Below are 17,101 nucleotides of genomic sequence, written 5' to 3'. Positions count from 1 at the left end.
GTAGAGATTGCAGTGAGCCAAGATTGTGCCACTGCACTCCAGCCTGGGTGACAGAGCAAGACTCCATCTCAAAAAAAAAAGAAAAGAAATATATGTGAAGAAAAGTTGCCAATTTGTACTTACTGATATCTTCAGAGAACTCATTTTTAAGAAAAACTTTAATAAAAGGTAAAGAATGTTTAAGCTCGTAAGCTGTTCTTTATTTTTATTCATAGGTAACCTCAGTCTCTTGTTTAAGTCAGTAACTTATTTAGTGGTGTCTTCTTTCTTAAGGTCAGCCACACCCTTAGAAAAATTACCAATGAAAGTTGAAAAATTGCTCCCTTAATTGTAGCATTAGTTCAAGAATTTTTTTGAAAGAATAGTGCCATATGTATTAAAGAGATTTTTGAGGAACAAAAAAACACAGTCAAAAATTTGAGGGCAATATACTACTACTGATTTTACTCTAGAAATGAACCAAATTATTTTTAGTTGCTGTAGAGGTACTCCACTAAATCTGTAAACATGTTTTTTTGTTTTGTTTTGTTTTTTGCGTCTGCAGCGCAAATCCAGAAAAACCCTGTGCATCATCATTCTTATCCTTGTCATTGGAGTTGCGATTATCAGTCTCATCATATGGGGATTGAACCACTGAAGTTATAAAGGAGCACACTGTCGCACTACATTGTCTAAATTATGTAGGAAGATTCCTGTAATCATGTTTTTTTAATTATTATTTTAAAGCTATTGTATAAAGGATGGTTCCCATACTTTGTTATTTTTATTGGGGGGGTTGGGGTGGTTCCTTTGGATTAAATCTGATATTTTCTAATACTGAAAGATTTTCTAAATGTCACTGCTGACATAACTCCCTTGGTCTTCAATTTAATAGTTGTTAAGTTTTTGCCCACATTGCATATGCCTTTCATTTATAATTTATTTACCCTGCTTGACTTAGTTTTGGGAATTCGTAAATTTAAAGGTGTGTGTATTCTGTTTGCATCTCCCTGTCACTGTGACACACCTAGATGTGTGTTACTTCAATTAAAATTCTCAAATTTAATTTTGATTTGCTTCAGCAGGGAAAATATTCTCAATAATGTAAAATAATTAAGGTCTATACATGGGTTGTATTTTTCTGGTTCACAACAGCACAAAGTGTCTTTCATTTTTTTGTTGGTTTTCTTTTAAGATCTTTTTTACCCTGAAGTCGGTGAATACTTTTCTAGTTTATTTGATACTCTTTCTGTGTATATATTAAGCTTTTGCTGTAGATTGCCTAGTAAAATTACTAAGGATAGGTTGTTTTTACATATGGTCTATTTAAGTCTGATGTTTACGGGGGAAAGTGTAGTTACTAAAAATGTTTAACATAATTTGGAAGAAGAGTATGAACAACCAATACCAATACCTATTGCGTTTGGATTCTTAAGACCCCAGTTTGTTATTCCACTAAACTAGTTATCTTAACCATATCATCTGGTTTTGTGGGCCATTATTTACCTTCCCTTATGTCTTATAGAATAATGGTTAATATTTTTAGGTCAAAATTACTTTTGGAAAGTAACTTTCCCACAATTAACTGTTTTTGAGCACCTGACAAAATTTAGTGTTTACCTTGCGTGCCATTTTGTGTCATCCTTCATTAAAAAAGCAATTGGAGGTTTGCCAGTTATCTCACTTCCCTTTTTAAATCAATGTTGTTTTAATGCACTAATCTGAATTCTGTAAAGAGGATTATCTTAGTTTATACTTTGTATTTTATAATGTTCTTGTATAGCAGCTCGGTACTGAAGGCGGTGTTTAACTTGGCAAGCTCTGAGACTTCAAATGGGAACAAATAGTAAGTAGCTAAGTAAACCACATCTTTGCAACCAAAATAAAGATGAGTTAAAAGGTATCTGGTTAGGCCTATTTCATGAGGACTATGCTCTGGTGGGACCACAGGTCACCTGATACTTAGTGCTGTGCTGCCTGAAACCTCAGCATGGAGACATCACCACATGCACTGTGGCCATTCAGCATCTTTCTGGAGCACCAGTTCACTCCAGGTTTTTATTTTAGGGTGTCATCGATTTTACCTACTTTGTCAGACTGGTAGAAGTTGCTTTGCATATCAGAAAAACTCCATTTTTTTCCACAAAAGGGATTACAGAAAACTCTTTTGTGAGTGAGTGATTGGAACTTAGAGACTCCTGTTGCCAGAATCAGACTGCCCTAGAACAGAATGGACAATGCAGGGAGGAGAATTCACACAAACAGCACCTGTTCTGAGGCCTGTGCCAGCCCACCAGGCCTGCTCAAATGTGGTCTTTACTTCAAGTGCACAGAGGCACATGAGGTTTCTGGTGATAAACCAGCGTCTTACCGCTGTTTTAAAGTCCCATCCCCATGGCTTTCACAATCAGTTCCGTTTTTTTTGCTGTACTTGATAAAATGTTTATTCTCATACAGGTCAAGTACATTTACTTCTATTCACAGTGAGTACCCAATAACAACAAAAGCGCTTACAAATTTGGGGGGCGTGATTTTAGTACCTTTATTTGAAGTGTAATCATTTTAAATTATTATTATTTTAACTGGGGCAGTTATCAGTGGTTTAAACAGGAACTTTAGTGGCTTCAATTTGTTTAAGAAACATATTAAGTTTGAGGGAAAAATTTCCCATGAAATATTTGGAACGTAAGAGTAGTATTGATTAGAGAAAATTAAATAAGAAACATAGTATGGTAGCCAAATTTTTTAAAAAATCTTGAACTTTTCTGTAGGTCAGTTTTAGAACTGCTGTGAAAAGTGAAGGTTGCCCTGTGGAGATTAAAATTAGAGTTGTTTTCATAACTGACAGCATGGTGAATCCATTTGAGTCAAAGTGAAGAATTTCCTCATCAAGTGACTATACATTTGTTTTTGTGTGCTCAAAAGAAATACTCAAACACAGACTGATATTAACCAGCCAGGTAAATTGAACGACAATGTGGCATTAGGTATTTGGCTGTTTATTGGTCGTTAAATACTATGGTTTTGCAATATGATTGATGGTAAAAGAGTGATGTCATATTGATACTAGAGTAGCTTGTTTTTTTAGTAGGTGTGGGACCATCTCTTTTACAAGTGCAACTCAGTCTAGGACAGCCATGGATGCAGTGTCTGGAGTTGGACCCTCTGAGCCCGCTGGCTGCCCCAGTAGCATCTGCATTGGTGACCAAGGACACTGCACTTTGAAGAGGTCGCCACTGGGTTATTTAGTGTCTTCACTGCTTTTGTTAAAAATTGTAAAATTTTGTACACAAAAAGTTGTGTTTTTGAATATCAATTGTTTAGACACACCTACAATGATAAATAAGTGCCTTTAAAGGCCCCTCTTTCCATGAAATACATCTGTGGTTTAGCAAGGAAAGTACAAAATAGTTTATGTAGTTGGTATAATTTTTATTTGTGTCTTCATGTAGAAAAAATGAATGTCATAATAAAATATAAAACTTACGTAAAGAAAATAAAGTCATTGTCCACCTTAATAGCTAAGGTCCACAAGGGTAACTTATGCAGCATTTATTTTTTTTGAAAGTCAAAATTGAATTTATTTCTTTCACATGGCTGGTTTGCTGCAATATGAAGTTTCAGAATGGGCTGAAGTAAGTTGATTGAGGGATTTGAGTTGAATGACATTTTCAAGTTCATTTAAATATGATAAAAATTCATTGGTGGTAAATAACATCTGTCTTTCCTGGAAAAAAAAAAGTTGTGTATTTTCATGATTCAGTTAAAACAAAAAATGAGCCTGTGAATCCCAGGCCTTTTTAGTCCTCCATAACATTTGAACAGTTTGACTTGTCAGCAAAGAAATACACTTATCAAATTTTAAACCAATGGGAGCCTGAAAGTGTTACAGTGTACTGCTTCTTTGACAAAATTCTGTTTAACAACTACCCTAACATAATTTATAAATCAATTAAGATAAAACCATTTTTTTCTGAGTATTTAGGAATTTGTGTCCTCAAAATACTGTGACATGAAAGATAGGAAAGAAATTACCTGGTTGCCAGACATGCACGATTATCTTTCCTCATTTCAGCTGGATTTTCCAAAGTCAGTAGATTGGATAAAGCAGCATCTCATTCACTGAGGTCACAAGATAGGTAGGAAACTTCTTTAATGTGAATTTTGCATATTTTAACAATTCAGTTAGAAAAACAGAAACCACTTGATGGATTATAAGTGTAAAGTGTTTTAACATAGGGAATTAGACATCAAAAGGGTGGGTGAGGAAGGTGTCTGCGGCCCCAAAGTGGGTGGATCTCAGGAGCTGGCCCAGGCACTGCTGTGACTCTTGAGAACATCCAGAAGGCTGTGCTGTTGGCGTGCAGCACTGACAGTGTGTCTCAGGGAGCTGTCCCCAGCTGTCAGCTGTTAATAGCTCCAAAGCCAGTGCCTTGCAAGAGATTTTGAAACTGCTGTGAAACTCATGTCCTCTGCCCGCCTACACTTCTGTCTGCAGTGGCCTCTGAGGAAAGATGGTCTCTCCTTTTCTCATGGTCAACTCTCAACTTAGAACCAGAGACAGAAGGAGTTTGTGGGAAGTGTGGTTTCTGGTCTACCTGCACTGCAGAGGACATTCTAGAAAGAGAAGTGAGTTGACAGTCTAGCATAATTGTGAAACAAACACTGAGATGTACAGTTCAAACCACGTGAAGTGGAAGCCTCAGAATTTTCCTCACTTTCATTAAAGATTCTTTGATGGAAAAATTTAGAAGCATTGGCTCTAGATGGTAAGCAAGTCATTTTTTTCCAACCAAAATAAAAAATACATATACTAAGCTTCTGGGGCCCCAGGACTTAACACAGTTTCCTTCCTTCCTTCCCTTCTTCCTTCCCTCCCGTAGTAGTTGCTTAATAAATACTTAATTTGGCACTTATTTGGGGCCGGCTTTTTGCCAGGCTACTACATGCCTGGGCATAGTGTTCTAAGAGTGAACCAAAAGAATAAGCTTCCTGCCCTCAGGGAGTTTATGTTTTGTTATTTGGCATATAAAAAGAACTTGGTGTGTTAAAAGAAGGGAAATAGCTGTGTGAAAGGAATGAGGCAAGGAAGAAAGGGAATGTCTAAATATAAATCTCCGTTTGGACCAGCCTCCTGTTTATCCAGTTTTCCTTACTAAGTAACTGAATTTCATTTTCTTTTCTTAATTGACAGACTACCAGAAAATTGCTAGTTTTCTAAAGAGAAACTACTGATTTGAGTGATGATCTGTGTGTAATGGCTCCAAAAAGGAGCCGTTCTCTTGGTGGCAGCAGTTGGATTCAGAGCTTGGGCATCCTGATCATCAGGACAGACATTTACAGGATATGTATAGAATTACTGCCCCAAATAGAGGGCAAAGCACTAGACAGAAGGGTGAGATCCAAGGGGAATTTGGAATCTATATTTCATCAGAATGCACTCAAAGCAAAAACAGTAAGTATGCTCCATATAAAGAAATGTTTCTTAAAATGTTTTTAATTTAACCCTACCCATCCCTTGGCAAATCTTTTTCTTTTAAATCAAATAGGAATAAAGAAGAAAATCTTCCTATTGGCCCATTTTCTCATTATTCAAATACCATATCAATACACCAATTTTAATTCTTTGTTTTTGTAATCATTTGGTTAACATGAATATTATGTAATATTTTTCTCCAAATAATCCTAATTTTAAATGCAGAAATAGAGCTAAATAACACACTAAATAGGTTTTTGTAGACACTGTAGCTTCTGGCAAGTTTTTAAGAGGTTGGTCACTTAATTGCTTAGAGTGGGATTCCCGTAGGTTTTGTGTAGTGATGGCATTTATGCTTAAAATGTAAGTGGTGGAAGGCAAAACCAGATTTCCTGTCCAGTCGTTACACGCACAACACCTCTACTTGTTGACGAGGGAGTTTTCTAGAACTGAATTGAATCTTTAAATAAACTTGAAAGGGCATTAATTCCCACTTTGGCCAACCCAAAGTACAAATTTTTAAGTGTTTACTGTAAGTATCGTTAGGCAGTAGTTACTAACTCCAACACCTAATAGCATTGGTAGAAAGCTTATAAATGCAGTTATTTAGCCTCGACTAAGATTTTTCTGATACCTAGTTTCACTTTTTAATGCCCTCTGAAAGTTTTTTGATCAGTTGTTTAATGGGAGATCTGAAATGTTAAACTCAGACCAGAAAGAAGAGAACCTGTTTTCTAGAAATTAGGTTTTTAATCCAAGTAAGATGCAAGCTTTTGCTTTTTTAATAACTTGTATAGCTAAAAACTTGACGGTGAAAAGCTCTCAGATCAAAGCTGATCCTTCTGTCAGTAATGATTCTAAAAATAAGCAAGATTTTAATGGGGAATATATTTTATTTCATTCTTATCTCAAACCTAGGTACTGTGGTCGTTTTGAGTTCATTTCGAGGCATTTTCAATGTGCCTCAGGCCACATCCAACCTCTTCCCAGGGCCAGATTTAATGTTCAGCCTCATAAAGGTTATCATAGTTTTAACATTTAAGTACTATTTTGCAGTGGGTATATACCAAAATTTGCTAATAGTAAGATAACCTTAGTTATATATCATTCACGTTAGTTCTATCTTGGAGGCAATAAACATTTCTTGTTCAAGAAATTCATGTTCTATCTTGGAGGCAATAAACAAACATTTTTTGTTCAAAATTAGGGCTACCCTATTGTCCTTATGTCTTTTCCTGATCTGTGGTCAAACATTTTTCTTAGTCATTTAGAAATTTTCTATGTTGTTTTAAATTTTCTTTAAATCTAGAATGGAGTATGTGACCAATACTTTCCTTTGGAATGGTATGGACATTTGAAATAGAGCCCATTCTTTATAAAGTATAAAATATGTTTAATGCTAGTATTTTTAACTAAACTTTTGAGAAACTAGATTCACATGCTGTTGTAAGAAATAATACAGAGACCTCTTTCGTGTACCTTTCACTTTGTTTCCCACACAGTGAACATCTTTCAAAACTGTCATACAATATCATACCCAGGATACTGACACTGGTATAGCTAAGATAGAGAACGTTTCCACACAGAACTTTTTCTAGCACAGGGATCCCTCATCTTGCTTTTGATGACCATACCCACTTCACTCCCATCCCTACTCCCTTCTTAACCCTTGGCAACCATAATCTGTTCTCCATTTTTATAGTTTTTTTTTTTTTCATTTCAATAAAGCTGTATAACTGGAATCATAATAATATGTAACCTTTTGGGATTGGCTTTTTTTCATTTAGCATGATTTTCTGGAGGTTAATCCAGCTTATTATGTGTATCAAGTCTATTGACAGGTACTTTTTAGTGTGAATAGAATCCCATAGTATAGATGTACCACAGTTTGTTTAACTGTTCACCTGCTGAGAGACATTGGGCCAGTTTTTGGCTACTATAAATAAAGTTGCTATAAACATTTGTGTACAAGTTTTTGTGTGAACATAATCTAGTTTTCTGGGTCAAATGCCCAGCAGTTATATAGTAGTTGGGTCATATAGTAGTTGAATGTTTAGTTTTTAAGAAATTGCCAAACTTATACCAAGTAGCTGTACTATTTTATATACCCACCAGTGGTGTATGAGTGATCTAGTTGCTTCATGTCCTTTTCAGCATTTGGTGGTGTCTCTTTTTTATTTTAGTCATTCTGATAAGTGTATAGTGACAGCTCATTGCAGTTTTGATTTACCATTTTCCCTTCGCTAATGGCAATGATGTTGAGCATCTTTGTTTCATATGCTTATTTGCCACCTGTATCTCTTCTTTAGTGACATGTTTCTTCATGTCTTTTCTAATTGGATTTTTTTTCTGTTGAGTTTTGAGGGCTTTTAAATAATGTGTGTGTGTGCCTCTGTGTGTGTGTGTGTGTATTTTTTTCTAGATACTAGTCCTTTGTTGGATGTGTGATTTGCAAATATTTCCTCCCAGTCAGTAGCATGTCTTTTCATTTCTCTTTTCTGGGCCTTTCACAGAGCAGAAGTGTTTAATTTTGATGAAGTCCACTCTATCCATTTTTCTTTTTATGGATCATGCTTCTGGTATCAAGAACTTTGCCTCTCTCCTTAGATCCCCCAAATTTTCTCTTTTATGTTGTTTTCTAAAAGTATTATAGTTTACGTTTTACTTTTAAGTCTATATTCCATTTTCAGTTAATTTTGTATAAAATGTGAGACTTAGGTCTGGGTTCATTTTTTTTGTTGTTGCCTATGGATATTCAATTACTCCAACATGATATTTGTCGAAAAGGCTCTTTTTTGTCCATTGAATTGTTTTTGCACCTCTGTCAAAAATCAGTTGAGCAAAAATGAGTTAATGAGAAATCAGTTGGGCACATTCGTGTGGGTCTATATCTGGGTTTTCTATTCTTTTCCATTAGACTATGTGTCTATACCTCCACCAACACCAAAATCTTGATTACTGTAGTAAGTCTTGAAATCAAATAGGCTGGTTTATTCCACTTTCTTTTTCAAAATTGTTTTAGCCACTTAGTTCCTTTGTCTTCCCGTATAAACTTTGGAATAATCTTGTCTGTATCTATTCAAATATCTTACTGGGATTTTGACAGGAACTATGTTATACCTATACATCAATTTGGGGAGATTTGACATCTTTACCATGTTAAGCCTTCCCGATCATGATCACAGGATCACTTCACTTCATTTCAGTTAAATTTTGTTTTCCTTCATCAGTATTGTGTGGTTTTCAGCATACAAGGTCTGTACATGTTTTGTTAGATTTATACCTAAGCAATTTAATTTTTGAGAGAGATTGTAAATGGCATTGTATTTTGAATTTCCTGTTCACATGTCTATTCTAAGTACATAGAAATAAAGTGAATTTTTCTATTTTGTATACTGAGACCTTATTGAGCCCACTTACTCATTTTAGGGGATTTTGATTGATTCCTTGGGATTTTTTTTTTATATAGATAGTCATGTCATCTGCAAATAATGAATAGTTTTATCTCTTCATTTCTGACCTATATTCCTTTTTTTTTTCCTTTCAGTCCCTTAATGCAGTGGGTAGAAATTCCAGCAGAAATAAAAGCAGTGAGAGTAGAGATCCTTGGCTTGTTTCTGGTCTTAGGCAGAAAGGATTCAGTGTTTCACCATGAAGTATAATGTTAGCTGTAGGTTTTTAAAGTAGATGCTCTTGCTAAAGTTAAGGAAGTTATCTTTTATTCCTTTTTTTCTGCAAGTTTTTATTATGAATTTTATGTTGAATTTTGTCAAATGCTTTTTCTGCCTTAATTTACATAATGCCATTTTTCTTCTTTAGCCCATTCATGTGGTAGATACATTGATTGATTTTTGAATGTTGAGCCATTGTTACATCCCTGAGATAAACTCCACTTGGTCGTGGTGTATCTTTGTATATATAGCTTAATTCTTTTGGCTAATATTTTGTTAAGGATTTTTGCATCTGTTTTAATGCGACATACTGGTTGGTGGTATCAGGGTAATACTAGCTTCAAAATGAACTGGAAAGTATTCCTTTCTCTTCTGTTTTCTAAAGCGGATTGTATAGAATTGGTGTCAGCGCTTTTTAAAACATTTGATAGAACTTTCCAATGAAATCATCTGGGCCTGGAGATTTTGGGGGAGGGAGTTCTTTTTATTGTAATTTCCACTTTTACAATAGTTATATGGCTGTTTAATTTATCTATTTCATATTGAGTTGTGACAGTTTGTATTTTTAGATGAATTAGTCCATTTCATCTAAGCTCTCAGATTTATATGTAGAGTTTTTGGTTGTATTTTTTGTTAGACTTTTGATGTCTGATATTCCAAAACTCCTTCATTTATCATTTCCTTTCTGTTTAGAGCACTCCTTTAGCCTTATTATTATTATTGTAGTTCCATTGGCAACAAATTCTCTCAGTTTTCTTTCATCTGAAAATGTCTTGATTTTCCCTTGATATCTGAAGAATATTTACATTAGACATAGACTTGTAGGTTTATAGTTCTTTTCTTTCAGCACTTGAAAATTGTTCTGCCACTTCCAGCCAAGAGGGGTGGCTCACGCCTGTAAGCCCAGCACTTTGGGAAGCCAAGGCGGGCAGATCACTTGAGGTCAGGAGTTTGAGACCAGCCTGGCTAACATGGCGAAACCCCGCCTCTACTAAAAATACAAAAATTAGCCGGCATGGTGGTGCACATCTGTAATCCCAGCCATTTGGGAAGCTGAGGCAGGAGAATCACTTGAACCCGTAGGCGGAGATTACAGTGAGCTGAGATCGCACCACTGTACTCCAGTCTGAGCAACAGAACGAGACTCCTTGTCAAAAAAAAAAAAAAGGAAAGAAAATTTCATGGTTCCCCATGAGAAATCCAGTTTTTTAAATTGTTTTGGTCCCTATAGATAGGTGTCATTTGTCTTTTTTCTTTTTCTTTTTTTCCTTTGTGTTTAGTTTTTAGTTGTTTAACCATGATGTATCTTGTAGATTTGGGGGGTTTATTATATTTGAGGTCTTCTCACCATCTATATGTTTATGTCTTTTGCCAATTTTGGGGAGTTTTCAGCTGTCATTTTTTTCAAGAACTTTTTCAGTCTTCCTTCTTTCTTCTTTCTTTTGAGACTCTGATGACACAAATGTTAGATTTATTGTAGTTCCGTAAGTCCCTGAGGTTCTGTTCATCTTTGTTCTGCCTGTTTTCTTCTGTTGTTCAGACTGTGTAATTTCTATCATTTTATCTTCAGATTTATTCATTCTTTCTGCAGTAGCTTCCATTCTGCTATTGAGCCTATCAATTAAGTGTTTCATATTGATTCCTGCATTTTTCAATTTTAAAATTTCTGGCCCTTTACCGAAAATGTTGGTTGACCCCTGGAGTATAAACCTATACTATAGAAGAGAGTATCAATTTTTTTTTTTTTGAGAGGATCAATTTAAACAAAAGTTGGTCTCTTTAAATAAATAAAGTACACATAACTTGGTGAAACCGATTTGGAAAAAAACAGAAGACATAAAAAATTTAGGAATGAAAGTACAGATAAATAACCAAACATAGATTTTAAAATAATAAGACACTATAAACAACTTTATGCCAATATATCACAAAACAGAAAATGAATAATTTATATGAAAAATGCAAATTACCAAAATCAACTACGAAGTAGATGATTTCTGCTTCCTGCCATATGGTTGACTAGGTATACTCAAGGATCCTCCTGCTAAAATACAGTTAGTTCTTGGATAAAATACAACACACATAATATTAGTTCATTTCCTGGCTCATTAGAAAGAAAGATAATCACTAAAGGCTATTACCAATGAGAGTGGGCTAAAATTAAAGTAGTTGAGAAACAGGAAAACTGTGCCTCTGAGACTTAAGCCATGGACTCCAGGCAAAGTAAAGAAAGTGAACCTAAGATTCCTTCATAAAACCAGGAATGCTTTAAAGCATTAAAGTAGTCCTAAGTCAGTGGACTCTGGTGGTTACTCTAAGAAGTGGATGAAAATCCCCTCCGAAGGAAAGCCTCCCTAATTAATGCTTCTAGATTAATCAAACATGCAAGGAAACACACCATTTGCATTGAGAAACAGTAGATTTAGATATTCAAGGAATTCAGGTATTGCAATTAGCAGAAGTAGAATAACAGTTATATGTTTAAATAATGTATGAATTAAAACGAACATGAAATGAGAGATGTGTTAAAAGGCAGATATTAAAAAGAACCAAAGACAACTTAGGTATGAAATTTAATTATTGAAATATATAACATAATGAATGGTTTAAGAGCAGATTCACCACAACTAAAGGAATTGTTGACTATCAAGTTTTAACTGAGGAAACAACATATTGCAGCAAAAACAGGTAAAGGGATAGAAAATAAGAATTAGAGATTATGAGACCTGAAGGATAGAATGGGAAGGTTTAATATGTGCTGATTGGAGTCTAAGAAGTAAAAAATAGAAAAAAATTGAGGTAATTGCTGACAAATTTCCAGAGCTAAGAAAAGCCTGGGACCTGGTATGGTGGCTTATGCCTGTAATCACAGCATTTTGGGAGGCCAAAGCAGAAGGATCACTTGAAGCCAGGAGTTTGAGATCAACCTGGGAAATGAAGCAAGAGCCCCCACTCCATCTCTACAAAAAAAATTAAGAATTAGCCAGATGTGGTGACATGAACCAGTAGTCCCAGCTACTTGGGAGGCTCAAGTGGGAGGATCACTTGAGCCCAAGAGTTTAAGACCAGCCTGAGCAACATGGTGAAACTCCATCTGTACAAAAAATACAAAAATTAGCCAGGCATGGTGGCACACACCTGTGGTCCCAGCTACTCAAGAGGCTGAGGAGGGAGGATCACACGAGCCCAGGAGTTCAAGGCTGCAGTGAGCTATGATGGTGCCACTGTACCCTGTCTAAAAAAAAAAAAAGTGGATCCACATATACAAGAAGCAAAATGTATATCAACCAGGAAAAGGAAGCCAATGTATATTCATTATACTCAAACTTCAGAACAATAAAGGCAAAGATATCTTAAAAGCAGCCAGAATAACTTATCCACTTTTAAAGGAATAACGAATTGACAGACCTTTTTTTTTTTTTTTTTTTTTTGAGACAGAGTCTTGCTCTGTCACCCATGATGGAGTGCAGTGGTGTGATTTCTGCTCACTGCAACCTCCATTTCCCGGGTTCAATTGATTCTCCTGCCTCAGCCTCCCGAGTAGCTGGGAGTACAGGTGTGCGCCACCACAACCTGGCTAATTTTTTTGTATTTTTAGTAAAGACGTGATTTTGCCATGTTGGCCAGGCTGTTCTCGAACTCCTGACTTCAGGTGATCTACCTGCCTTGGCCTCCCAAAATGCTGGGATTAGAGGCATGAGCCACTGCACCTGGCCAACAGTAGACTTTTCAGTGCCAAAACTGGAAGGCAAAAGACAGTGGAATAACATCATTAAGGTACTGAGAGAATAACTCAATAGAATGAGTGCCCAGTGAAATTATCTTTCAAAATCAAGGGTATATTAAAAACACTTTTTTCTCAAAATGAGAATTTACAAACAAGGGACTTTCACTTAAGAATAAAGATGAATTTTAGAGTACAGCAAAATGACTAGGAGGAAAGTCTGAGATGCAAGAAGGTATGGTGAGCTAAAAAATCAGTAATCATGGGAAATGTAAATAAATACTGTCTATATTAAGAAGTATTTACTCTGTGGAGTAAAAAAGAGCGTAATTAAAATACTAGCAACATTTTACATAACTCAGGAAATGTATATGTGGGGAAAGTGTCCGGGAGCACTTAGAAGTTAGTGTGAGTGCTCCAAGATCCTGATACTCTTTAGGATGGAAGTTAAGATAATGAATGACTTTAGATGTTGTTAATCTAAGTACTTAACAGAAAATTTTCAGATAACCTTTAAAGAATAGCAATACAATATAACTTTCAAACCAGTAGAGAGGAAACATTCTGAAATAAGGGAAAAACACTTTAGAAATCCCAACTTTGATAGACCACAAAAATGCAAGAAGGAAGAAAAAGCATAGAAAAAGCAAAGAAATGGCATAGTATATAATAAATGGTTACAATAAATATAAATTGCCTATCTCACCAGATTAATAAAAAAAAAAGTCTACCTTGTTCAATATATACAGTTTACAAAAGACAGTACAAGGACAGAGAAAGACAAAAAGTAGAATTAGGGAAAATAAAACAAGCAAATATACCTGGTTAGGATAGCTGTATCAGTATTAGCCTTACAAATATTAAAGTGAAAAGCATTAATAAGGATAAGGAGACTCTCAAAAATAATAAAAATTTCAACTGAAGTAGGTATAACAGTTCTAAACAAAGTTATTAAAGTAAAAATGTAGAGGGCAAAACGGAAAAAAAAACTATTATGTTGTATTTGAAGTCACTCAATTTTTAGCTCGAGCAGCAAAAAAGTAAATAGAACAACATGGTAACCAAAGTTGATTCAATTAATACATAAAGGATCATGTTCCCCCAATTTAGAGCATGTGCATATTTCTTAAGCATGTATAAAAGATTTAGAAGGAAAATGATAAAGGAATGTTTTGGGGACCTCTGATAGGGAAAGATTTCTTAGAAAATCTGCAAAAGATATTAACCATAATCTACATAAAGTCAACTGTTTTATTTCAAGCCTCTCTGGAAATAGTTTTGTTGACTGATAAGAAACGCTCTATGTCAGTCAGCTAATCAATGTCTAGTGAGTCTAACTCTTTCCACTACACAGTAAGTTCCATCTTAGGGTGTTTTACTTAAAAGCCTGGTGTCAAATGTTACACGCACAAAAACTTATTAGTATCTTTTTAACCAATGTATCTTAGGAGATACGGAATTATTTCTAACACACTGGTTGTATTTACTAATTTTCCGCTGAGCCATCATAAAAATAGAAGTCACATCGTCACTATTTCTTGCTTGTCCAACCCAGTGTCTATGGTACCCTCGGCAGTTATTCATGGCTCCTAGGCCTTCTTTTAGAGTACTGTCTCTCTTCTATTGGCTTTGGATGGAATTGACTCCATCCTAACTGCAGAAATGATAGGCACTGCTTTACATAAATCAGTCAGCCTAATAGCATTCTTTTTGCCTCAGAGATTGGTTCAGAGATGGGGAAAAACCCACTCTAGGCAATCAGCTTGTGACTTACTTTCCTCCAATTGGTGATCCAATTAGGGCAGTGTGTGGAATGTGCTGCTCTGTATGTGCAGCCAGATGCTCATGTTCATAAAAAACATTTTAATACTGTGATGGAAGATACAGCTTCGAGACAAAGACACAAGCTTGGGTAGAGTCATTCATTCATTTAGTAAGCATTTGCTGAGTGCTTAATAAATGCTGGGCCCTGAGAAAAAGCAAAATCTTATTCAGCACATTCTGACATTGGGGACAATGCGATAGTTGATAGCTTCCACACTTAATTAGAAACAAAGATTATCTCTTAAAACCTCATTCTTGTATCTAGGAAGACTTTTGTTTTCCCAATCAGAAATTGTGGTTCCAGAAAAAGAACAAGACAATGAAAACATTGTATAAAAGGTTTCTTTCAAACTTTTTTCAATTGACAGTTTTTCACCCCAATCATCTTGATGCAGAGAGGCTTCAGAAACACAAGTGACTCTGTGTTCAGACCAAGTACTTGGCCTCGAGAAGATGAATGATCAGACCAACTCACCATATGATTATAAGGGTCAGGTAGTTTAAAAAGAAATTACAATCTGAATTGAACCATGGATGAACAGTGTTGCTATTGAGCTTCGAATCCCAGCTAATAAGCATAACCTTGTAAAGAGAGGTTACTGTTTGGGAAACTGCATGTTCTTGCAGGAGGGCAAAGCTTTTGCAATATAAATAGTTGTAAGGGTACTAGCTTTCATCTTTAATACCTTAACCCTCTGTGTTTAGAGTTTTTGTATCCAGGGCTGAATTGAGAATTTTAGAAACCTTGAACACTGAAGAGATTGTAATAACAACCCCATGTGTAATTTATAAAATCTTCAAAAGAAAATTTACTTTTTCAAAATGTTATAAAACTCTGAATACTGAAATGAAAATGGCTTCATTTTTACATTTTATTTCAAGACGCTACATAAATTCATCAAAGTTAAACTTTTCTTAGTCATTCCTGCTGTTTTGCTGGTGCCCTCGAAGACTCAGCTTGTTGAGTAATAATTCAGCACTGATTGCATTACAAGTATCTACTGATTTTCATGTAATTTTCCAAAATATAGATGGAGAAGAAGAACATTATTTCTGAGAGGAATTTGATTGTGTATGGTGAAGAGTATGTTTTGAGCTTGGCTCCTCTAGACTTACTTTCTTCCTGAATGGGTCTAATAAGAAGCACCCTTCAATCCTAAATATATCTTTCTCTTACACAATGACAAGGTAATGTGGGTTTTAAAAAAACAATGCAGGTCTTCATCTTGGCACTGTAGAATGCTTGATGTACATTAAACATGATTGGAGGAGACATTCAGTTGGATAAGGGTCACTGTGATTCACTGTGATTCAAAAGGCCATGTCAGGCCCATTGCTCTGGCAAAATTTAATATGCAAGAGTTGGTAGGAATGTGCCTCAGAGAAGTAGGCTGAGGTTGAGCCAGTCATTTCTGACTAAATAAAGAAGAATGCTTGAAAATCTGTTCTTCCCTCATCCTCGAAGCTGTTAATGATTTGTAAAATTTTCCTTCTTTTTATTTGATCATAGTATTAAGAGCAAATTAAAAGACCAACAGCTCTTGCCTAAGGCTTCCAATATGACATTTGAGTATTATTATTGTTTTTTGTTTTCTTTTTTAAATCTAAAAACCTTCTGGAGCTCTCTGGAATAGAGAAAAAAAAAAGGTTGACATTCTTTTTTCTTTTTGGATAAATTGTTAACCAGAAAACATTTGTCATATCTAGATCTTAAAGCAAAAGTAAATATTATCTTCATTGAGAAAAACAATAATCTCAGTTCCTTACTTTGTATTTCAATACTTTTTAATTTTTGTTTCTCTCCTTAAGACTATTTCTAAATTATCTAAATTTAGTGGCATAATTGTCTCTTATATAACGATACTATTACTTGGAAGGCATTATTCTTTTTCATTGAAATATAATTCATCATTGAGAAATAAAGGCACAGACACACAGGCAAACACATACTACAATGGCACGATTTTATGTTTTGAATAGCATTTAAGTCACAATTTAATATGTGCTGCTTTTCTTTGGGTCATCAATTGTATTACATTCTCTTAGATTCTTAGTTTCTTTGCCCTTAGAATTCCTTTAAAAATGATGATGGCTGTTGGGTTGGGAGCAGTTAACAGGGAAAGGGAAATAGTCTTTCAAAATCAGTCTTTTAGGGAGATAAGTTGTTCCATTTAAATTACAATACTCAACTAGAGGATTTCAGAAGAAATGAGAACGCTGTAATTGAACCACAGTGCTTCTTATTTTGCCCCCCATGCCCATCCCTTTTAACCCATAAAGAAATAGTTTTCTTTTATTGAAATTCTCTCCAGTGGATATTGACTAAAGTTATACAGCTGAAACAACCAGGAGAACCCATGCTTCTTTCTCCGTATAATAACCATTATAATGTAAGAAAAGTTACACTGGACAAGTTAGGCAAGGAAG

At 35.2% G+C, this 17,101-nt stretch overlaps 1 protein-coding gene across 4 annotated transcripts in view; it reads left to right on the top strand.

Annotated features, from left to right (window-relative positions):
- Positions 1-15,528, top strand: part of STX7 (syntaxin 7) — a 67,606-nt gene extending 52,078 nt beyond the window's left edge. For all 4 annotated transcript variants that reach the window (NR_137169.2, NM_001326579.2, NM_003569.3 and 1 more), the window contains one exon: positions 545-15,528. Coding sequence is in view for 3 of the 4 variants with exons in the window: in NM_001326579.2 (NP_001313508.1) it covers positions 545-637 (93 nt within the window). In the remaining variant the exon portion in view is untranslated. The remainder of the gene's footprint in view (positions 1-544) is intronic.

The sequence above is a fragment of the Homo sapiens genome, chromosome 6, assembly GCF_000001405.40.
Source record: "Homo sapiens chromosome 6, GRCh38.p14 Primary Assembly".
In the NCBI taxonomy this organism is placed as follows: Eukaryota; Metazoa; Chordata; class Mammalia; order Primates; family Hominidae; genus Homo; species Homo sapiens.
The sequence above is the reverse complement of the archived record's forward strand: the minus strand, read 5'-3'. Positions and strand labels throughout refer to the sequence as shown.